This window comes from Homo sapiens, chromosome 17 (assembly GCF_000001405.40).
Source record: "Homo sapiens chromosome 17, GRCh38.p14 Primary Assembly".
NCBI lineage: Eukaryota > Metazoa > Chordata > Mammalia > Primates > Hominidae > Homo > Homo sapiens.
This window is the reverse complement of record NC_000017.11, coordinates 2,001,196-2,024,071: the sequence shown is the minus strand read 5'-3', so window position 1 is coordinate 2,024,071 and position 22,876 is coordinate 2,001,196. Positions and strand designations below refer to the sequence as shown.

At 54.0% G+C, this 22,876-nt stretch overlaps 1 protein-coding gene and 2 long non-coding RNA genes across 9 annotated transcripts in view, besides 2 other annotated features; 2 read left to right on the top strand and 1 right to left on the bottom strand.

Annotated features, from left to right (window-relative positions):
- Window positions 1-22,876, top strand: part of RTN4RL1 (reticulon 4 receptor like 1) — a 90,658-nt gene that overhangs the window by 1,263 nt on the left and 66,519 nt on the right. The window lies entirely within an intron of this gene.
- LOC105371486 (uncharacterized) lies at window positions 390-21,421 on the top strand. 7 transcript variants are annotated; one of them, XR_001752746.2, is made up of 4 exons: window positions 390-476; window positions 9,778-9,922; window positions 16,935-17,058; window positions 20,771-21,421. It is a non-coding gene; the product is annotated as an uncharacterized LOC105371486 (long non-coding RNA). The 7 variants fall into 7 exon arrangements; XR_001752747.1 differs by lacking the exon at window positions 20,771-21,421 and adding an exon at window positions 18,675-18,834; XR_001752749.1 differs by lacking the exons at window positions 16,935-17,058; window positions 20,771-21,421 and adding exons at window positions 10,584-10,779; window positions 10,937-11,050.
- Window positions 1,110-1,289: a silencer, noted in NCBI's record as "silent region_7966". NCBI's record gives its function as "represses an Ori minimal core promoter by ATAC-STARR-seq in GM12878 lymphoblastoid cells {active_cell/tissue: GM12878}" and the evidence as "EXISTENCE:reporter gene assay evidence [ECO:0000049][PMID:35858748]".
- On the bottom strand, window positions 3,366-6,356 carry RTN4RL1-AS1 (RTN4RL1 antisense RNA 1). The gene is made up of 2 exons (NR_135642.1): window positions 5,965-6,356; window positions 3,366-4,887 (listed from the first exon to the last, which is right to left on the bottom strand). It is a non-coding gene; the product is annotated as an RTN4RL1 antisense RNA 1 (long non-coding RNA).
- Window positions 5,650-5,759: an enhancer, noted in NCBI's record as "active region_11461". NCBI's record gives its function as "activates an Ori minimal core promoter by ATAC-STARR-seq in GM12878 lymphoblastoid cells {active_cell/tissue: GM12878}" and the evidence as "EXISTENCE:reporter gene assay evidence [ECO:0000049][PMID:35858748]".

The window sequence follows — 22,876 nt, the reverse complement described above, 5'->3', positions numbered from 1 at the left end:
CGCGGGGCGCCGTCCCCCGGGCCCTGGGAGGGCAGGTGATCACGCCGGGAGCCCACGGGCCCCGCCACCAGCTGTTCCAGCCTCTGCGTCTGCCTCTCCCCTCCCAGGCCCGAGCAGGCTGTGGCGCCCCGCCGGGATCCCCCCCGCGCCTGGCCCGGCCAGGAGGCTGAGAAGCCGCGGCGCCTGCGGCTGGCTGCCCCGGCCCTGCGGGAGCGGCTGAGGCGGGAGCTCAGGTAGCCGAGGGGCCTGATCCCTGCGCTCCACGCTCCAGCCTTAATCCGCCCCTGTTTCCATGGCAACAGACCGAGGTGTCGTAAGCACAGGATTCTGACCTCACAGCAGGATGGGGAAGGAGAAAACGCGCACGGGGAGGGGGTGGAGGGGGGGGAGGTTGGGGAGGTGGGGGGAAGCGAAGCCCTAAGATGGGCGGAGAGAAGCAGATGTGGAGGTGATGGCGAAGACCCAGATATAAGCAGGTCAGGCAGGTGGGTGGAGGAACCACGCCTTTGGTGGGGCAGTGAAGGCCGTGTGGTGGTCCTAGCTTGGGCCGACCGAGGAAGCTGAGTTGCCCCGTCGTCCTGGAATAGTAACAAACTTGTGTGTGACTTGTGCCCTCCACGTGGGTCGGTGCAGTTCAGGGGGAAACGCCGGCTGCCTTCGCTGTGGTATGGAAGAGTTTCTGGGGCTAGTTGGAGAAACCGCTTCGCAGACACACCCCAGGTTCTCCTTTTCCCTGCAGAAAGGGACAAAAAGTCCTTTCAGCAACCGAGCAGTGCTGGCCAAAGTGTCTTTGCACAGAGAAGGTGCTTTTTACAGAGCTGAGCAGAAGCCCGGGTCTGAGAAACTTGGGCCTGGAGCGTGCAAACTTGCCCCGGTCGAGAAGGCTTCCCAGACAGCTCTGAGAGGCCGCCATGTCTGGGCTGCAGGTCTGTGATAGGGATAATGGAGAGGAACTGACATCTCATTTCCCTTTTGGTCTTTTGTCTTTTGGCAGTTTATAGTTAAAAATGAGCCACCAAGCAGCCCACACACTTTATTTATATGGTTTAGGTGCCCAAGGAGGCTCCAGCAGCCTCCAAGAGCCTTTCTCTCCCACCCTGGCTAGCCAGAGGCCCAGCTGTGGATGAGCACAGTGCACTGTGGGGGCCGCTCCCCGGGGGGAGGCTCCTTACCCTGCACAAGAGGCGGCCACCGGAGGCTTAGCAGTCACGTGTGTTTGCCACTCGGGCTGTTTCTTCCTTCCTGCACAGCCTGGTTGGCTGAAGAGGTTCCACCGATAGGTTTCCACCTGGATTGGCCCAAAGGAAGCAGAGCAGAGAAGCCCTTCACTGGGCTGGGCTCAGCCTGGGTGACCTGGAGACCGCCCCTAGGGCATCGTGTGGACGGGTGACTTGTGTTGGTTCTTTCCTGGGCAGGCAGTTTTCTCTCTTGGCCCCAGATCCTGATCTTTTGGATTAGTTTCTTCTGCACACCTGTATAGGACACTCAGATTCTCTGTATGGATTCTAGGTAGGCGCCCAAAGCCAAAAGCATGCCTGAGGCTAATGCCCAGGGAGGTGGCCATTGAAGTGTCTGCTTCTAGAATTCTTCCCAAAGTTTCCAAGCGAAAATGATACAGGAGGCCAGGTGTGGTGGCTCATGGCTGTAATCCCAGCATTTTGGGAGGCCGAGGTAGGAGGATCACTTGAGACCAGGAGTTCGAGGCCAGCTCGGGCAACAGAGTGGGACTTCGTCTCTACAAAAAAAAATTTTTTTTGAGACAGAGTTTCACTCTGTTGCCCAGGCTGGAGTGCAGTGGTGCAATCTCAGCTAACTGCAACCTCTGCCTCCCAGATTCAAGCAATTCTCCTGCCTCAGCCTCCCAAGTAGCTAGGACTACAGGTGCACGCCACCATGCTTGACTCATTTTTTGTATTTTTAGTAGAGATGGGGTTTTGCCATGTTGGCCAGGCTGGTCTCAAACTCCTGGTCTCAAGTGATCTGCCCACCTCGGCCTCCTGAAGTGCTGGGATTACAGGTGTGAGTCACTGCACCCGGCCAAAATTTTAAAAAATTTGCAGTGGCATACACTGGTGGTCCCAGCTACTTGAGAGGCTGAGGTGGGAGGATCACTTGAGTCTGAGAGGTGGGGGCTGCAGTGGGCCGAGATTGTACAACTGCCCTCCAGCCTGGGGGACAAAGCCAGACCCTATTTAAAAAAAAAAAAAAAAAAAAAAAGACCGGGCACAGTGGCTCACACCTGTAATCCCAGCACTTTGGGAGGCCGAGTTGGGAGGATCACCGGAGGTCAGGAGTTCGAGACCAGCCTGGCCAACATGGTGAAACCCCGTCTCTACTAAAAATACAAAAATTAGCCGGGCGTGCTGGTTCATGCCTGTAATCCCAGCTCCTTGGGAAGTTGAGGCAGGAGAATTGCTTGAACCCGGGAGGCGGAGGTTACAGTGAGCCAAGATCGCACCACTGCACTCCAGCCCAGGAGAAGATGCGAGACTCTGTCTCAAAAAAAAAAAAAAAAAAAAAGGTATAGGATGTGTTTAAATAGTTCTTGCTGTTTTCTTGCCTATAATATGCAGAGCCCTATGTGGGGTCCTGGACCTGAGGGAGTGTAATAATTTAATTATGATTCTGAAAAGGGTTTGAAAGATGAAGAAAGGGTAGCCCTCCCTAGATCCTGTGGGAAGGAGGGAAGAGAAAAAACCCCTCATCTTTCTGCAAAGGGCAGGGCTCATGGTCTTGATAATGGGGTGCCCTATGCAGTGAGGGGTGCAGTGGTATGAAGCCCCAGAGGAGGAGGAAGGCGGAGCACACCTTGGGCCATAAGGATCATCTCTCTGATTCCTGGTTGTCCTAGTAAAGCTGTCCCCTGGCATGACATTTTGGGAGGACTGAGGGGGACTGCCTTGCATCTCTTAATGAAAGGACTCTACTGGCCACAGCCCCACCTCTGTGAACTAGAACAACCCCAGTGGGACCAAGCTGCTGACAGTGCTGGTAGCTGAAGGCTTCAGCAGCTGCCCTCCCTGCTTCTCCATCTCGTGGCCTAGCCGGCAAAACCAGGGATATTAAAAGCAAGCCTCTGGTTAAGAGGTGAGAGGCAGCAGGGCAAGCGAGGCCCCAAGCCACCCGGCAACATCCAGGAAGGAAGGGCGGCCCGCTGGGGGGTTTGCTTTGCCAGAAGTGGCCTCTACTTAAGGTCGGGACCCGTGGCTTTCCTGTGTAGAGCTATGAAAACAGAATGCAAATCCAGAGCCTCTGGGCTAATACAGAACCTTTCCTTAAAGTTTTTGTCTTGTTAAGCAAGAAAATAGAGTGCCAAATAGGCTTTGTTAAGTGGCAGTCTAATTAATAATTTAAAATCTTATAACTGTCTTTCATTAGACTTTATCTGTACATCAACCACAAAATCAGTCAAACACACTCATTTATAAGTTAATGCCATCCCTGAATAATTCAGCGAGAGCTAGATTAAGGCCTGCAACCCAGTACGATGCATTTGGTTCCCTTGGTTTCCACGGGCAGATGGGCTGGTCTGGTGGCGGATTTGGGCTTCTCTTTTGTGGGAAGAAGGGAAGGCAAAGGGAAGGAGGGACCGTGGTGGCATCAGATGGTTGCTTCACTTGAATCCACAGCTCCTCTAGGTGTTTGGAGAGTCTTCAAGTGTCCAGATGTGGGCAGGCTACATCTCTGCCTCTCTCTGGGGGCAACCAAGACTTGGAGCTATAGTAATGTAGCTGCCCTTAACCCCAGTGGCGAGAGTGAGAGAAGAGCGTTCCCTGCACGGCCAAGATACTCTTTTCTGCTGCAGAGGAAGTATAGAGGGGAGATAGAAGAACCCTTATCAAGGAGGCTGAGCTGTGAGACTTTTTAGCCCAAATCCAGGTGCAGAAGTCAAATTTCGGCCTTCCCAGCCCATTTCTGTCCCAGTCAAGGCATGTAGCCTGGTGGAACCAATCTCACCAAAACAGCTTCTCTCCTTAGGAGCTTCTGGGCTGCTGCGCTCCTCAAAGCTCCGGGTCCTTATGCCAGAAAAAAGACGTCAAGAGGAGAGATTTTAGGGGAGCGCCCTGACAGAGAGGAGAGGCAGAGCGAGTTGCTAAGTAAAGCCCATGCATGCATTTTCTCACCAGCATGCCAGAATAACAGCAAGGACAGCAGAGGGATGTTCCCTGTGAGCTCAGACAACATAGAAAATGTGTTTTGGTTCGGTTCCCACCATGCCAGCATGGGAAACAATTCCTTACTGCAGAGTGTTCAGGTCCATTTTCTACAGGGAAACTGTTCATGACCCAAACTCCCAGCACGAGCCCTCGTTCCTCCACAGTAGGAGTGAACTTCAGAGTTTCTGGCCTCCGCCTCAGCTTGCGGACCTGGAGCCCTCTGGGCGGTTACATGGCTCTGTTGATGGAGACCAGGTAGAGACCCGGAGCAGACACGCTGTCCATGCCAGGAGAGCTTCTTGGCCGAGTTTGAGAAGAAGTCTCAGGAGGAAAAGGCAGGGGAAGGGGTAGGTGTTTGCCCCTGGCCAGTGGTGGAGTTGAAAGCAGATGGCATCAAAGAGGGGGAGTTGTGTGGGGCGAATCCAACTCCAAGCTCTGGCCGTGTCTTTGGGATGAGGCTTTAAAAAGGACAGAGCGGTTCACTTGCTGGAGATGAGAAGGAGGGCCAGGCGTCGTGAAGGATGTCGAGAGCAGAACTGCCTGGTACCATCTGCAGTGAAGTAGTGGTTAAGGTTAAAGCAGAGAGGAGATGACAGGGAGGGAACAGATGGCCGAGGCAGCAAAATAGCTGGCGAAACGGGAACGGAGCCTCCAGGGACGGCAGAAGCCAGGACCTCCACGCAGAGTGCCGAAAGCAGCCCTTTCCTCGGGGTGCAGTGGCCGGACCTCCCTGGGCAGAAATGAGACAGAGAGAGGAGTTGGGAAGGGACCCTAGCGTGAGGGCCCCCCCCAAGGCCTGGAGAAGACTGAGGGAACCATCAGCTCCAAGGCTAGGGCTGCAGGAGCAGAGGGGCCTCCAGGGATGTCGAGGAACTGGAGAGAGGAGCCCGCTGACTTGGTGTCCATCACTAGAATGAGTCCCAGCCACCTCGGGCTTCACAGAGCATGCCCAGCCAAGCCTGCTGGGAGGAGACATGGATGCTAGCTGGAAACAGGCAGCAGGCAATAACCTGCTCTTCCCCACCTGCCCGTCACTGTCCACATGCTGCCAATAGCCGCTTGTGTTTACTGAGCACTTGTTACAGCCTCACTGAGTGTGCTCCACGCCTTATCTCATGCCACCTCCACCCCCACCCTGCAGGATCCGTCTGTGCTCATTCCTCCGTGTCAGATGAGGAAACTGAGGCATAGCTAGCTGGAGTCCCTTTCCCTGGGCCACCCAGCCGGCGCACTGCTGAGTCAGGATGCAGCCCCCGCTCTGTCTGTCAAGCCCACCGTCTCCCTTGCCCTCTGGACCTCTGTGCTCCACTGTCTCACGTGCCCATCTGTCTTGATTTCTCTGACATTTGTTTTGTGGGGCGCTGGGCGCTGCTGATTCATTTCTGGCTTCTCGCAGAGCTTGCTGGTGGTTCCTATGCACTCCCCTCTGCGGTTCCTCAGGAGCCTCTCTGGCTGGGATCTGGGACTCCTGGGGCCTGAGCTGCTGTCTCATATGTCCTCTCCTACTCCCTCTCCCCCGGTGTCTGGAAGACACAGTCCTCACCTCTGTCTCCTGCCCTGGTTTCTTCCTTGGGGACAGAGATGGGACAGTGGGCCAGGAACCCTCCTGCCTGCTTTCACGCCCCTGAGGAGGGCCCAGGGCCATGGATTATTGGGGGGCTGTGCTCTGCTTGGGATCTCAGCCCTCCCCATGGTTTGCTCTCCCTGGCTTCCCTCCAGGGTGACCTGATGGACTTGCTAGCACAGCCCCGGAACACACTGGCTCCACCACCTATACCTGCCCCTCTTGCCTTGTAGTGCTCCCTACCTCCTGGGGGGCCTTCCCGCAGCCCAGCCCTAGCCTGCCAGGCAGGATGGCAGCTGCAGGGCTCAGCTGTCCTCCAGAAAGGGCTTCTCCTGTCCCCTTCCAGCCACGGTTGAGTCCCAGAGAGGTCAGTTCTCCCCGTGATTCTTTAGGAAAAGAAAGAAGATGAAACAAGGCAGAGAGTCTAGCTGATCTTAGGGTGCAGGAGCGTGGAATCCCGCTTCAGAGTGGAGGCCTCCTCCGCTGTGGTGAGGCTCGTGCTTCCGAACCTGTGATCACTGTCTAACCAGTCAGCGAAGCGTGGAAACGAAACTGCAAACAGCCCCTGCTATCTGATTCAGGAGAGTCGCTCTGGAGACCTCTGTGCTGGCACAGCAAAAGAGTTGGTACCATAGTGTGTGTGCGTGTGTGTGTGTGTGTGTGTGTGTATGTACAGAAACACACCTGGCAAAGCATGCAACAGGCTCCCTGTAGTGTGTGTGGCAGAGGTCACTGTTGCAGAGCAGGACACCCTAGTGCACCAGAGCCTCTGCTGGCACCCACACCATTGGTCCACTGGCAGGGCTCGGTGCCGTGGCACGATGGTGAGCCAGTCAGTGGGGGCAGGGGCTCCCAGGAGTGGGCAGGCCAGCGCTGTGTGTGCCACATGTCAGGAACAACACTTGCTGAGTGGGTGTGTGGCTCGCCCTCACAGGGGGTGGGTGGGCACGACTCGTGACATGTCTGCCAGGGGACAGACCACTGCAGCCCCCAGCGATGGGCCACTTGGCAGCTCACTGAGTTGATTCCAGAGGGTAGTGGCATCATGGTGACAACTACGTGAGCAAGGGTCTTTCCCAAATCAGGACAAAAGCTGGGCTCCCAACTTTCAGCCCACTGAGGTGGTAGAAAGTTTGCTTCTGCCTCCAAAATCATCCCCACAGGATTTGCTATCTCTTTCTGGGCACCAGGACCAGCACGCAGTGAAGGGGGCCTTTACATATGCTTATGTTGAGAGATTCATGAGGCCCTGGGGGGAAATTGGCATTCTTCTGACCATGATTTATTTATACGGCGATAGGATGATGGGGATATGGAGGCTAAGGTGACTCCATGAGTGAGAAGCGCACAAGGCAAGAAGCCTTGCTCTGCATTTGACATTTAGTGGGGTGACTCCTACCAGGGAGCTGCTTTTCCTTTTAGAAGGTTTTGCCTTTAATGTTCTATTCATGGGCTTGTCTGAGCAAGCTGGGAGAAGGAAGGAGCACGTGTGGAGGTGGGCCTGGGGTCTACAGCTGGCCAGCCTCAGGGGAGGCAGGGCCGAGGGAGGTCACTTGATGGCCAGTGAGGGGCACCTGGGCAGGCCGGACGCTGGGGACAATGGCTATGCTCTGGCGCTGCAGCCCGGCCTCCCGCCTGCCCGCCTGCTGCCGCCTGTCGCTGGCATGTGCCGCATGCCACACGCTGCGTCTCTCTGTCTCTCATCACACGCTGCCAGACTCCGTCTCTCACCGCAGCCCTGTATGCAACCCTGGCTTTGCCCTTGTCACGGCCCTTTCCTTTCCAGGAACTGTGGGGCTGTGGAAAGACCAACGGAGCTGGCACCCTGGGGCTGTGTTCGGTCAGCTCTGGGGCGGACTCAGTAGAACCCCAGACATGTCTCCTCATCTCTGGGCCTCAGTTTACCCATCTGTAATATGACTAGATCAATGGTCTTTCAAAGTTTTTTTTTGTTTTTTGTTTTTGTTTTTGAGATGGAGTCTTGCTGTGTCACCCAGGCTGGAGTGCAGTGGTGTGATCTTGGCTCACTGCAAATTCTGCCTCCTGGGTTCAAGTGATTCTCCTGCCTCAGCCTCCCAAGTAGCTGGGATTACAGGCACCTGCCACCACAACTGGCTAATTTTTGTATTTTTAGTAGAAACGGGGTTTCACTATGTTGGCCAGGCTGGTCTTGAACTCCTAACCTCAGGTGATCCTCCCAACTCGGCCTCCCAAAGTGCTGGGATTACAGGCATGAGCCACCGCGCCCGGCCTTCAAAGGTTTTTCAATAGCAGGAGTTTCTTCAAATGGTACCTAATGTCAGAGCCCAGGGCAGGGGGGCCATGATCAGAGCCAGACCCAGGGGGAAGGGCTTCCTCCCTTGGCCTCGGTGCCACCCTGGCCGCCCCTCCAGCTTGGAGGCTCTGGAGTCCCCTGTGGTCCCTCCTAGCAGGATATAGGAAGCCACTGGGTGTGCTGAGCGTTGCCTGTTAACAAGGAGGACTGTCCGCTGTCCACAGGGCGAGGGGTTTGAGTTCTGTCACCTGCGGCTGATGGGGTGTTGCATCCCCTCCTTTCGGACCCCTTGCGGCCGCTCGGCTCTCTCTGCCCGGATCAAGGAAGGGGTTGTCCACACTTGGAGACTCCTTATTCTCACCTCTCACTCCTCAAGCCAGACCCTGCTTTTTCCCTGGCATCCACAGTCACTGCTCTGGCTTGACACTAAACCCGACAGACCTTTTCCTTATCTCCTTGACCTTCTGGGGCATCGGCCCTGTTGGCCGTCCTGCTTCCCCGGCTTCCCTGATGGCAGCCTCCATGGTTCTGCGGCTGCCCCTCTCGGCCGTCTTGGCCAGCTTCCCTCCTCTTGCCACCTCTCCAATGTGGCACCTCCCCGGGCAGCGCCATGCTTGGCTCTGGGGGCTTTCAGCACGGCCGTGGCTGCAGTGGCCGGCCATTGACTGACTCCCCAGATATCCCGTCTCCAGCCTCTGATGTCCAGAGCCACCTGCCCACCGACCCCCAGTGCCCTCATTGGTGGCCTCAAAGGCCTCTCAAACCCGGCGTGTCTGAAATTGCCTCTTCCGCAATTTCCCCATCATGGCATCTGGCACCATTGCTCTCCAGCCACCCCCAGCCCAAGAGCTGACCCCTGCCCTTCCCACACCCTCCGTGCCTCGCGAAGCCCTGCCCTTCTCCCATGATGCCCTTTGCACCTCCTCCGCCACTGCCTGCTGTGCCTCCACCTGAGCCCAGGCCACCATCATCTCCTGACCCTCCCAGCAGCCTCCTGTCTTGCCTTTGCTGAAACCAGGCCTTACACAGCGGCCGGATTCCACAGTGCCCTGTGCCCTTGTCTCTCTCTTCTTAGAACCCTTCAGCGATTCCCTTTTTCATCAGGGAATGGCCTGCCATGTCCTTCCCCCTGGCCCCACCACAGCTCTGGCCTTCTTTCTCCCCACTGCTTTGAACTCTGAGCTCCAGGTCTACCGAACTTCTTTGGATTCAATTGAATCATGTTCTTTTTTTTTTTTTCCTTTGAGATGGAGTCCTTCCCTGTCGTCCAGGCTGGAGTGCAGTGGCGCAATCTCAGCTCACTGCAACCTCTGTCTCCCAGATTCAAGCGATTCTCCTGCCTCAGCCTCCCGAGTAGCTGGGATTACAGGTGCACACCACCACACCCGGCTAATTTTTGTATTTTTAGTAGAGACAAGGTTTTGCCATGTTGGCCAGGCTGGTCTCGAACTCCTGACCTCAGGTGATCTGCCTGCGTCGGCCTCCCAAAGCTCTGGGATTACAGGCATGAGCCACCGTGCCCAGCCTGAATCATGTTCTTTTGTCTTGAAGGATTTGCTCAAGCAGCTCATTCTGCCTAGAACACTCCGTGGCTGCTTCCCCTGCACTCCCATCCTCAGGTCTCAACTTATACACATCTTCTGGGGAAGGTCCCTCCATGCCTTGAATGGGGAGAGTGGGGGGTCCTGAGAGCTCTGTGGGGCTCTGCACATCCCTGTCATGGTACTCAGCCTTCCTTGTTGCGATGATAATACTTTTATGTGATCTGTCTTCCCCGCCAGTTGGTGAGTTCCATGAGGAGACTGCAACTTCTCCACCCTGTGCCCCTCCAGATCCCTCATGCTGCTCTGTGTCCTCCAGGGTTGGCCTGTCCAAGTTCAACAGTGGGCTTCCACACCCTCCCACTTCCAGCTGGGTTGGCCAAGGGTGAGTCCCCATGGGCACTGGGTGTCCCTCCCAAAAGGTTACTGAAAGATTTTCCCAGAAGCACAGCCTGAGTTTCAAAAATTCAAGCAAGTAGTTTATTTGGGAAATGATCCAAGGAAATGCCAGGAACTGAGTGAGAGGTTGAAACAGAGTAGGGGAGAAGCCAGTCAGGGACTCACTGGGTCAAGTAATTACCACTGTGGGTACCAGAGCTTAACCCTGCTGCACAGCTTTGGGATGCAGTCTAGAACCCGCACCTCAAAGCTATCAAACCCCAAGGGTGAGAGAGCTGGGGTATTTATGTTCCAGGGTGAGGGAGCTGGGGTATTTATGTTCCAGGGTGAGGGAGCTGGGGTATTTATGTTCCAGGGTGAGGGAGCTGGGGTATTTATGTTCCAGGGTGAGGGAGCTGGGGTATTTATGTTCCAGGGTGAGGGAGCTGGCGTATTTATGTTCCAGGGTGAGACAGCTGGGGTATTTATGTTCCAGGGTGAGAGAGCTGGGGTATTTATGTTCCAGGGTGAGGGAGCTGGGGTATTTATGTTCCAGGGTGAGGGAGCTGGGGTATTTATGTTCCAGGGTGAGGGAGCAGGGGTATTTATGTTCCAGCACCCACCGGTCACTGGCTGAGTCTTGTTCCTGTGGTGGTATTCATTCCCAGCACAGTTGGCCTGCTCTGTAGGTGAGCAAAGCCAGCTCCGCTGCTAGAGAAAGCCCTGAGGCAAAGAAATGCAAGTCTTTGCAGCTGGAAGTCAGGCTGGTGTGCCGAAATGGTCAAAGCCAGGGCTGTGGGCAGGCCCTCGCAGTATCTGCTACACAGCCCCTGCCACTAGCCCTCCTGGCAGCTCTTTCTACCTGTGAGTTCAGTAAGAGCTCCCCCTCACTTAGCCCTGGGGGTCTGTATGTGTTGGGGGTGGTTATGACATTATCTCTTAGGGCTTCCCTGTCCCCCTCACTTCTCTCTTCTTCTTTATTCATCAAATTACTCAATCTGAAAATGCTCTTTCCTATCAGGACCCCACTAAAACAGCATCCTGCACAAAATAGAACATAGCAGGCCGGGCGCAGTGGCTCACACCTGTAATCCCAGCACTTTGGGAGGCCGAGGAGGGCGGATCACCTGAGGTCATGAGTTCGAGACTAGCCTGGTCAACATGATGAAATCCTGTCTGTGCTAAAAATACAAAATTTAGTTGGGCATGGTGGCGTGTGCCTATAATTCCAGCTACTTGGGAGGCTGAGGCAGGAGAATTGCTTGAACACAGGAGGTGGAAGTTGCGGTGAGCCGAGATCATGCCACTTCACTCCAGCCTGGGTGACAGAGCGAGACTCCAACTCAGAAAAAAAAAAAAGAAGAAGAAGAAGAACATAGCACATAGTGACATTAGGTAAAAAGTGCTGGATCAGTAGACTTGAGTTGATTGGCTAATAAATGTTGATTGAATGATTGTACATAGGTTGGACCACAAGAAACTTAGTACCAAAACCTAATATTTATATTGTTCTGTAACCATAAGAGAAATTAAATCGTGATCTAGGGCTTAAAAAAAAAACAGAGAGAGAAGGAGAAAAAGAGAAAGAAAAAAATAGAAACAGTACCAGGAACCAGGAGGAAATGGGGAATTTTTAGTGAGGAGGATGCAGAGAAGAGTCCTACACCACGCACTTTTCCCTGTGCAATGCCTCATTAAAAGCAGAAAACGCACGTCTCATTAGTCCCAAGTTACAGATGAGGATACCGAGGCTCTGAGGGGCTCAGTAGCTTGGGCAGGGCCTTAGGGCCGCCTCACCGCAGCCCAGCTGTGTTCCTTGTGGCTCCAGGAAGCCAGCAGGCACGGAAAGACTGGCCTTCTGGACCACAGAGGATGCCCAGCAGAGCAGGCGCTGTGTTAGGAAAATAACCTCTCGCTTGGAAAAGTTTAGGGTTGTACTTGGCAGATGTGTTTGGAACAAAATTTGTACTATCGACTCCGTGGCAAACGGAAACCTCTCATGGACACTCTCTGGGCTTCAGAGATCTGAAATGTCTAAATGAGGCCGGACCAAACATGCTAAAATTGCCAGAGGAAGCTGAGCTCGGGTGGTGCCTGGGGTGAGAAGACGCTGCCTCTTTTGTCTTGGCTCCCATCTGTGAAATTGACTCGTTACTTTGAACTGCTTCCTCTCCTCCCAGGGAGGGCTCCAGGGGCGTTGCTCAGGCCTGCGGTTTAAAAAGAATCTCCCCAAGCGAGGAGGGGCCGAGGGAAAGAGGCTCGGGAACTTCTTGGGCTATGCTCAAGAGAATGCACCAGCCAAAGGGGACATTTTACCACTCACACGTGACTCGTGGGGTGGCAGTTAGCCCCGGGGCTGCCTTGAGATTGTGGCAATGATCATCTTACCTAATTGGCCCACTGCCCCTGATGGGCTGGTATTTCTGCTTTCATGGCCAATTCTGATTGCAGAGATTCATGGGAGCTCATTGGAAATGGGGGATTATTGCAAGGAGATGAGTGACCTGGACTCCCAAAGCCTCCAGGCAAGGGAGGAGCTCCAGAATGTACAGCCCTCCGTGGTCCCTCTCCTGGCCTCTCTGCCCTGGCCTCTCCCTCCACCCCGCCAGCTCCTCCTCTTGCCCCACATCCAAAGCCATGGACCCACCCCTTGCTCTCCAGCACGGCCTTTCATCTTCCCCTCCCACAGCTAGGTGCCTCCAATTCCTGGCTTTCCCAGAAGGAAGAGCCCAGTGGAGCCAGCCGTGTCATGACTCCTGTCGGACCGTGTTACAGACCATGATCACCGACCAGTTCTTTATCCATGGATGAGCGGTCACCTTTTATCTTGTCAGCCAGGAGGGGTATGGAGGGCTGTCTCCATTTGACAAACGTTTATTTTTATTTCATTTCATTTTATTTTTTTGAGATGGAGTTTCACTCTTGTTGCCCAGGCTGGAGTGCAATGGCGCGATCTTGGCTCACAGCAACCTCCGCCTCCCAGGTTCAAGCCATTCTCCTGCCTCAGCCTCCCGAGTAGCTGGGATTACAGGCATGCGCCATCACGCCCGGCCAATTTTGTATTTTTAGTAGAGACGGGGTTTCTCCATGTTGGTCAGGCTGGTCTCAAACTCCAGACCTCAGGTGATCCGCCTGCCTTGGCCTCCCAAAGTGCTGGGATTACAGGTGTGAGCTACCGCGCCCGGCCGACAAACGTTTATTTAACAACGATGAACTGCCTGCCTACTGCTGGTTTGGCACTGAGGGTGAAGCGATGAATAAAATCCAAGGCACCGAGCATGGTGGCTCACACCTGTGATCCCAACACTTAGGGAGGCCGAGGTGGGAGGATCACTCGAACCCAGGATTTCAAGACCAGTCTGGGAAACATAGTGAGACTTCATCTCTACAAAGTGCTTTGTTTGTTTGTTTGTTTGTTTGTTTGTTTTTTAATTAGCCAGGCATGATGGTGTGTGCCTGTAGTCCCAGCTATTTGGGAGGCTGAGGTGGGAGGATTGCTTGAGCCCAGGAGACCGTGGCTGCAATGAGTTGTGATCACACCACTGCACTCCATCCAGCCTGGGTGGCAGAGCAAGACCCCATCTCTAAATAAATAAATAAATTCCAAGTTTCCTGTTTTTTTTGGAGCTTACATTCTAGTTGGGGTGGAGAAATAGACAATAAACAACTATATATATATTGAGACAGAGTCTTGCTCGCTAGCCCAGGTTGGAGTGCAGTGGCAAGATCTTGGCTCACTGCAATCTCCGTCTCCTGGGTTCAAGCGATTCTCGTGCCTCAGCCTCCTGAGTAGCTGGGATTACAGACGCCTGCCATCGTGCCTGGCTAGTTTTTTATTTTTTATTATTATTTTTTTATTTTTAGAAGAGATGGGGTTTCACCATGTAGGCCAGGCTGGTCTTGAACTCCTGGCCTCAAGTGATCTACCCACATCGGCCTCCCAAAGTGCTGGGATTATAGGCGTGAGCTACCGCGCCTGGCTAAACAACTATATTCTATCAGGTGGGGTAAGTGCTTTGAAGAAAATTAACAGTTGAAGAACAGAGGGTGACCAGAGAGCGGTTATTTTAGGAGATTGGCAGAGAAGTCTTTCTGATAGACGGACATTCGAACAGAGGCCTAAGCGAAGTGAGGGAGTGAGGGAGGGCGCTGCAGACATTAGAGCTGCTTCTCCCTGGGGAGGGCTCTCCTGGCAGAAGGAACAATAGCAGGTGCAAAGGCCCTGCGTCAGGCATGTGCTTGCTACAGTACCTGGCTGTCTCCGTGGCTGGGGCTGTGGACAGGGCCGGCATTCTGTGTTGTGGCCTGTGGAGTGGTTTGAGATTCCTTTGGAGAGTACCAGAACTTGCGGTCAGTCCCAAGTCCATCAGCCACTTGGCCAGGGGTTCAGGGACCAAGGCAACAGCTATGGCAGCGGGCAGGAGGAGAAGTGGCCGATCTGGGGATCCCCCTTTACATCGGGGTCAGATGCCTCTCTTTCTCAGCTGTTTATGTGGCCCAGGCTGCAGTTTGAGTATAAGGTCAGAGATTGATTCCCATGAATCCTGCCTTTTTTTTTTTTTTTTGAGACGGAGTCTTGCTCTGTCGCCCAGGCTGGAGTGCAGTGGCGTGATCTCGGCTCATTGCAACCTCCACCTCCTGGCTTCAAGCAATTCTCCTACCTCAGCCTCTCGAGTAGCTGAGATTACAGGCACACACCACCACGCCCAGCTAATTTTTGTGTTTTTAGTAGAGATGGGATTCACCATGTTGGCCAGGCTGGTCTCAAACTCCTGACCTCATGATCTGCCCACCTCAGGCTCCCAAAGTGCTGGGATTACAGGCGTAAGCCACCGCACTTGGCCAATGTTTGTACTTTTAGTAGAGACAGGGTTTCCCCTTGTTGACCAGGCTGGTCTTGAACTCCTGACCTCAGGTGATCCACCTGCCTCGGCCTCCCAAAGTGCTGGGATTACAGGTGTGAGCCACCAAGCCCGGCGAACCCTGCCCTTTTACTCCACAGCATACAACATAGAACTTAGTTCTGGGCACAGCCTTGTCTTTTTCAGTCCCTGTCTCATTGATACATCACCCTTTTCTCCCCATTTACACCATCAGTTCCAGCCAGACCAGAGCCCCTGTGCCTTGTAGTCATTTCCTGAATGAACTCTCACTGTGTTCCAGGCAGGGTGGGAGTGAGTAAACCCTGGGCTGAGGCTCAGTCTGCAGGCCCAGGAAATTTACAACCTGCTAGGAGAGAGAAGCCACACCCTGGATAAGTGAAAGGATGGTGTAGGTGATAAGGAAGGCACTTTCAAGCCAGGGGGAAGGCGGCTGGAGGTGAGGTACCTGCTCCCAGGTGCACCTGGGAGGCTTTGTGAGAGGAAGAGAGGCTTGACAGGAAGGTTGGAAAGGCTGGAGAGCAACGCGACAACCCGTGCTTAGGCCACAGTCACTGTTCGTGCCACGGATCGGTGGCAGATCAGTTAGTGGTAGGGCGGATTGGTGGGAGCCCAACTGTTGCAAAGCCTCAAGAACCAGGGAGGAGGAGGTTGGTTGACTCAACAGCCACAGAATTTTTTTGAACTTCCCAAATGCATACCCAGGGAGCAAACACAGATTGGAAACCTACAGATTGGCAAAAAGAAGAAAATCACTACAACCCCACAGCCCAAAGAGCAAAGTGTGGGAAAGCTCACCCCTCCCAGGGTGTTCGTGCATTTCATAATCCGGCTACGCTTCCTTCCTACGTTCACGCAGATGCACCCGTCTCGTTTAATTAACAGTATTTCTCAAACACCTTTCTATGTTGGTAATTCCTTTTTTTTAATGTGTCAAAATTTTGTTTTATTTTTCATTATGTTTGTAATTCTAAGCCTCAGTTTGGGGTGGTCTTTTTTTTTTTTTTGAGATGGAGTCTAGCCCTTGTTGCCCAGGCTGAATTGCAATGGCGCAATCTCGGCTCACCGCAACCTCTGCCTCCCGGGTTCAAGTGATTCTCCTGCCTCAGCCTCCCGAGTAGCTGGAATTACAGGCATGCACCACCACAGCCGGATAATTTTGTATTTTTAGTAGAGACGGGGTTTCTCCATGTCAAGGCTGGTCGCGAACTCCTGACCTCAGGTGATCCGCCCGCCTCGGCCTCCCAAAGTGCTGGGATTACAGGCATGAGCCACCATGCCTGGCCTAAGCCTCAGCTTTTTGTTGTTGTTTATTTTTTTGGGTTTTTTTTGAGACGGAGTCTTGCTCTGTCACCCAGGCTGGAGTGCAGGGGCGCAATCTCGGCTCACTGCAGCCTCCTCCTTCCAGGGTCAAGCGATTCTCCTGCCTCAGCCTCCTGAGTAGCTGGGATTACAGGCGCGTGCCACCATGCCTGGCTAATTCTTTTGTATTTTTAGTAGAGACGGGGTTTCACCACCCTGGCCAGGCTGGTTTCGAACTCCTGACCTCATGGTCTGACCGCCTTGGCCTCCCAAAGTGCTGGGATTACAGGCGTGAGCCACTGTGCCCAGCCAAGCCTCAGTTTTAACGGCTGCAAAATGTTCCATTGTAGGATTTGCCAGCACCCTCAGGTTGGCAAGACCACTGTTAGAGACCATGCCACAGCCAGCATCTGGCAGCCTGGCCTACCCACTTTGTGAGTTTCTGAGCAGAGGCAGGGGAGCAGAATGAGAGGCCAAGGCCTTCACAGGGAGCTGGCTGGGTGAAGGCCAGAGCAAGAGGTCGGCGACATCCATTGGCACCACCCCAAGCAGCCAGACGGGACTTGAATTACTATCATCCAATTATTTGGAGAGGAAGAGTGTGTGTGTGTGTGTGTGTGTGTGTGTGTGTGTGTGTTGGGGCTGTGAACATGGCCTAGGTCTGCAGTGCAGCCGACTGTGGGTGATCCAGAGGAGGAAGGTGTACAGAGGCATTTGTTTTCTTTGGGATCTGGGTGGCTTGTGGCATCAGAAAACTGTGGCTGGAGTATGAGGAAAGGCGTACCCCTTGCTTCTGATTTGGGCCAGGGGATTTGTGTGATTTTGATGTATTTGTAGACTTTCAACTGCGGCACCAGAAGGGACCTTATAGCTGAGAAAATTGAAGCTCAGAGAGCTGCAGCAGCTTGCCCAGCATCATACGGCACTGGAAATGGTCAGCCAATGTGTTCCGTAGAGCACGGTGGGTAACACACCCTTCATCTTTCCAGGACCCCATCGCCAACCTCTTCCTGTACCTCTGCTCCGCTGAGCACACATTAAAAAAAAGAAAAGGCCGGGCACAGTGGCTTATGCCTGTAATCCCCGGACTTTGGGAGGCTGAGGCAGGAGGATCGTTTGAGGCCAGGAGTTCAAGACCAGCCAACATGGCGAAACCCCGTCTCTACTAAAAAAAATAAATGCAAAAATTAGCCAGGCATCATGGCATGTGCCTGTAATCCTAGCTACTCAGGAGGCCGAGGGACAAGAATCACTTGAAGCCGGGAGGCGGAAGTTGCAGTGAGCTGAGATCGTGCGACTGCACTCCAGCCTGGGCAACAAAGCGAGAGACTGTCTCAAAACAAAACAAAACAAATTTGGCCAGGCGTGGTGGCTCATGCCTATGATCCCAGCACTTTGGGAGGCTGAGGCGGGAGGGTCACTTGAGCCTGGTAGGTCAAGGCTACGGTGAACCATGATTGCACCACTGCACCCCAGCCTGGGTGACTGAACAAAACCCTGTCTCAAAAAAACCCAACTGGTTGCAGTGGCTTACGCCTGTAATCCCAGCACTTTGGGAGGCTGAGGTGGGCAGACTGCCTGAGGTCAGGAGTCGGAGACCAGCCTGGCCAACAATGGAGAAACCCAGTCTCTACTAAAAATACAAAAAAATTAGCTGGGTGTGGTGGCGCGCGCCTGTAATCCCAGCTACTTGGGAGGCTGAAGCTTGAGAATTGCTTGAACCTGGGAGGCGGAGGTTACAGTGAGCCGAGATTGTGCCATTGCACTCCAGCCTGGGCCACAGAGCAAGGCTCTGTTGCCAAAAAAAAAAAAAAAATTGCAAACCTCCCCCAAATATGACATTCCTAATTCCCCTTAGCCTACCTATTAAAAGAAAAGAGGCCGGGGTGGTGGCTCACGCCTGTAATCCCAGCACTTTAGGAGTCCAAGGCGGGTGGATCATGAGGTCAAGAGATCGAGACCATCCTGGCTAATCCAGTGAAATCCCGTCTTTACTAAAAAATACAAAAAATAAGGCGGGCGTGGCGGCATGCACCGGTGGTCCCAGGTACTCGGGAGGCTGAGGCAGGAGAATCGCTGGAACCCGGGTGGCGGAGGTTGCAGTGAACCGAGATTGCGCCACTGCACTCCAGCCTGGGCGACACGGCGAGACTCTGTGTCAAAAAAAAAAAAAGGAAGAAAGAAAAATAAAAGAAAAAAGAAAGAGAAGGAGAGAGAGAGAGAGAGAGAGAGAGAAAGAGAGAGAGAGATGGTCTTGCTCTGGTGTCCAGGCTGGAGTGCAACAGTGCAATCCCAGCTCACTGCAGCCTCCACCTCCCGGGCTCAGGCGATCCTCCCACCTCAGCCTCCTGAGTACTTGGAACCACAGGAGTACGCCACCACACCAGCCATGAGCCCTGTGGCCTCTCTGGATGTACCAGTGACTGTCCTTTCTCAATGGAAGCTTCCTCCTCATCAGAGGAAAGGGCTTGGTAGGGAGGGCCTAATTGCAAAGGTCAGTGGCCAAGCCCTTCACCTCTGAGTGGAGTGATTAAACCAGAGCCAGGTTGAAATCTGGGAATTACCTTTTTTCTCCAGACTTGAGTTCATCTGTAAAATGGGCCTAATAACAGTGCCTATCTTTAGAGTTGTGAAGATTAAAGAAGACAATGCTTATAAAGCTCTTGGTGGCCGGATGTGGTGGCTCATACCTGTAATCCCAGCACTTTGGGAAGCCGAGGCAGGAGGATCACTTGAGCCCAGGAGTTTGAGAACAGCGTGGACAACATAGTGAGACCACATCTCCACAAAACGTGAAAAACATTAGCCAAATGTGGTGGTGTGCACCCGTAGTCCCAGCCACTGGAGAGGCTGAGGTAGGAGGATTGCTTGAGCCCAGGAGGTCGAGGCTACAGTGAGCTAAGATCGTGCCACTGCACTCTAACCTCGGCAACAGAGCCAGACCCTGCCTCAAAAATAAACAAATAAATAAAAATTTAAAAAGCTCTTGGCACTATATTGTGGCCTGACCCAGAACAGGAGCTCAATGAACGCCGCCATTCCTACTGCTAGCAGCGGTGGTAACTTCCTTCCAGGCATGCTCCATGTGCCGGCCTTAGCTACAGCCCACATCTCACTGCCCTTTGGAGTTTTGCCTCTCTGCCTCCAGAGCTGTGTGAGTGATCAGGACAGACACATGCCAGCCCTGGCCAGGGGCAGGAAACTCAAGACCAGCAGGGACAGGTCACGTAGGGTGGAGGGGGCCACCCTGTTTGCCAAGGACTATCCTTGCTCTGTCCTGAACCCTCTGCCCTCTCTGCCCAGGGCCAGGGAGAAGTCCCCTAAGGCGGTGCAGGCGGAGCTGCGGGAAGCATTTTAAAGTGGTTTCCATTCGCTTGGAAAAGTGAGATAAGGGTGAAGGCCTCCCCAGAACACTGGTGCATCATCCAAGAACTGCCAGTCCACAGCCTTGAACTCCAGGCGGCCACTTCTTCCTTGTCTCTGAAACAGGGTCCCCCGACTGGAAAAGAAAGCCCCGCCTCAGCCCAGTGCCTCTGCCTCCTGGCCCGCAAAATAGACACTGCTTCTTTGTTTTGTTTTTTGCTTTTTTTTTTTTTTTTTTTTTTTTGAGACAGAGTCTCGCTCTGTTGCCCAGGCTGGAGTGCAGTGGCGCGATCTCGGCTCACTCCAAGTTCCGCCTCCCAGGTTCACATCATTCTCCTGCCTCAGCCTCCCGAGTAGCTAGGACTACAGGCGCCCGCCACCACACCCGGCTAATTTTTTGTATTTTTAGTAGAGACGGGGTTTCACCGTGTTAGCCAGGATGGTCTTGATCTGTTGACCTCGTGATCCACCCGCCTCGGCCTCCCAAAGTGCTGGGATTACAGGCGTGAGCCACCGCGCCCGGCCTGCTTTTTGTTTTTTTGAGACAGGGTCTCACTCTGTTGCCCAGGCTGGAGTGCAGTGGTGCGACCTCGGCTCACTGCAACCTCCGCCTCCAGGGTTCAAGTGATTCTCCTGCCTCAGCCTCCCGAGTAGCTGGGATTACAGGCACCTGCCAACAAGCCCAGCTAAGTTTTGTATTTTTAGTAAAGACCAGGTTTCGCCATGTTGGCCAGGCTGGTCTCGAACTCCTAACCTCAAGTGATCTGCCCGCCTCAGACTCCCAAAGCTCTGGGTTTACAGGCATGAGCCACCGCGCCCGGCCAAGACACTGCTTCTTGCTTGGTTCCTCTCGAAGTTAATGCTGGTCTGCTCGGGTTTTCCTGCTGCTTCCGTAGATTGCGCCAAGCAGACACGGGCCGGGGCCCTGGGGCCAGGCAGGCGGGACTTGGGCTCCTGCTTTGCCATTTACCAGGTGCCTGACCCTGGGCAGATGCTTTAAATCCTTCTGGCCTCAGTTTTGTCATCTGAAAAGTGGGGTTAATGCCATCTGCCTTCTGGGGCTTTGAGAGTTTGTGACAAAGTGGATGTAGCGTGCCTTCTTGTGGCAGAGCAAGGCCTCCCGGAGCCGCTGCTGCTGTTCCTCCTGCATCACTGTCCTCTATCACTGCAGCCATGGACGAGGCCTCTCGGTGGCAGGCTCTGGGGGGACTCTGGGCACCCAAATGAAAATGCCACAGTCCTCTTCTCGGTGGGCTTGCCTCCCTGGCCTTTCTCCTCACCGTAGATCCCTCTTGCCTTCCCTGTTTTAGGAGCCATAACAAAAGAGTCTGTGGGTGTCACCCGCCCGTCTGCCAGCCTGCAGGATCAGGTATCGGAGGCCTTCAGGACTCTCGTAGGCTGCCTTGGCATCTCTGCACCACACTTATGCCTGGCCCCCATTCGGCAGGCAGATCCAATCCCTGGGAGGATAAGGGTGTGTTCTGGAAGCTGGCAGTGCCCCCTGGTGAAGCCCTCAGAAGCCTGGGGCGAGAGCTGTCACCTCCCCCACAGAGAAAGCTGGAATCGATTCCTCTCTCACCACTCCCTTGGAAAGAACAGCAACACAAGGGAAGGCCTGTTATTGGTGGAGGGTTTGTCCTGAGAGAGCAGCAGGTACATAAAAAAATAGCTGGGGCAACACGCCGGCCTCGGACCCAGCCTGTGCAGCCCAAAACGGGGGCACAGATCCGTCCCGCCCCACCCTTGCTGCTGAGTTGGGTCTGGGCCCCTCCTGGTAGCCGGGGTATGGAGGACCCTGGCTGCTGCCCCTGCCTCCTCGCCGGGACCTGACTTTCCCTCTGCCCCCCACTGGGAACTGGCCAGAGTGTTTTTACTAACAAGCTAGCCATGTCACAATCTCAACAGAGAGAGACGGGCGTGGGGAGGAAGAGAGAGGGAGACAGAGACAGAGAAAAGAAAGGAAGGAAGGAAGGGAGGGAGGGAGGAGGGAAGAGACAGAGAGAGGAAATAAAGAAAGACAGGCCGGGCGCGGTGGCTCACGCCTGTAATCCCAGCACTTTGGGAGGCCGAGGTGGGCGGATCACGAGGTCAGGAGATTGAGACCATCCTGGCTAACACGGTGAAACCCCATCTGTACTAAAAATACAAAAAATTAGCCAGGCGAGGTGGCGGGCGCCTGTAGTCCCAGCTACTCGGGAGGCTGAGGCAGGAGAATGGCGTGAACCCGGGAGGCGGAGCTTGCAGTGAGCCGAGATCGCGCCACTGCACTCCAGCCTGGGCGACAGAGCAAGACTCCGTCTCAAAAAAAAAATTAAAATTAAAAATTAAAAAAAAGAGAAAGAGAGAAAGAAAAAAGAAAGGAGGGAGGGAGGGAAGGAAGGAAGAAAGGGAAAGAAAGAGAAAGAAGGAAGGAAGGAAGACAGTCCTTGCAGAAATACCGCTGCAGTGTCTGCCAGGACCTAAGATCTCGTACTATCTATTTTTTAATAATTGAGGGTAATAAATATGTATTTCTTTCTCCTCATCATCCCCCAACCTCCGATGCTTGTCAGCTCCCTGCGTCTCTCCTCTGATCAGACCAAGTCTTCCCCAAGCAAAAAAAAAAAATCCTTTAAGCAAAAAGGATTAAAACCTTGAAAGTAGGTCTGCCTGAGCTCCCCCCACTCCCTCCCCTCCCCTCCCCCAGGGCTGAAGTGAAGAGGCCCCTCAGGGGAGCCGGGGACGGGGGGAGCTGATGCTGCAAACCCCAAGTGGGGACCTTAGCAGGGGAGAATCCCGCAGTCACCCCTTCCCGCAGCCCATCGAGTCCTGGGGGAGGCAGCCTAGCCCGGCCCAGCTCTCCACTGGCCATTGAGGAGGGGCTGCTCGAGAACAAGGCTGCCCTAGTCCCCAGCAGTACAGGACATAGGAAGGAGGCCTTTGGTCTCAGAAAGACCCAGTTCTACCTTGCAGCATGGCTCTGTGCTTTAGGGGCCTGTGTGACCTTGGAACAAGCACTTGAGTCTCAGTTTCTTCATCTGGAAAATGGGAATATAAATAGTGCCTACCTTACAGAGGATCAAATAAGGCCGGGCGCGGTGGCTCATGCCTGTAATCCCAGCACTTTGGGAGGCCGAGGCGGGCGGATCACGAGGTCAGGAAATCGAGACCATCCTGGCTAACATGGTGAAACCCCGTCTCTACTAAAAGTACGAAAAGAAATTAGCAGGGCATGGTGACGGGCGCCTGTAGTCCCAGCTACTCGGGAGGCTGAGGCAGGAGAATGGTGTGAACCCGGAGGCGGAGCTTGCAGTGAGCCCAGATCACACCACTGCACTCCAGCCTGGGCAACAGAGTGAGACTCCATCTCAAAAAAAAACCCAGAGGATCAAATAAGCTAAACATAGTCCAGTGTCTGGCACATGGAAAATACAAAG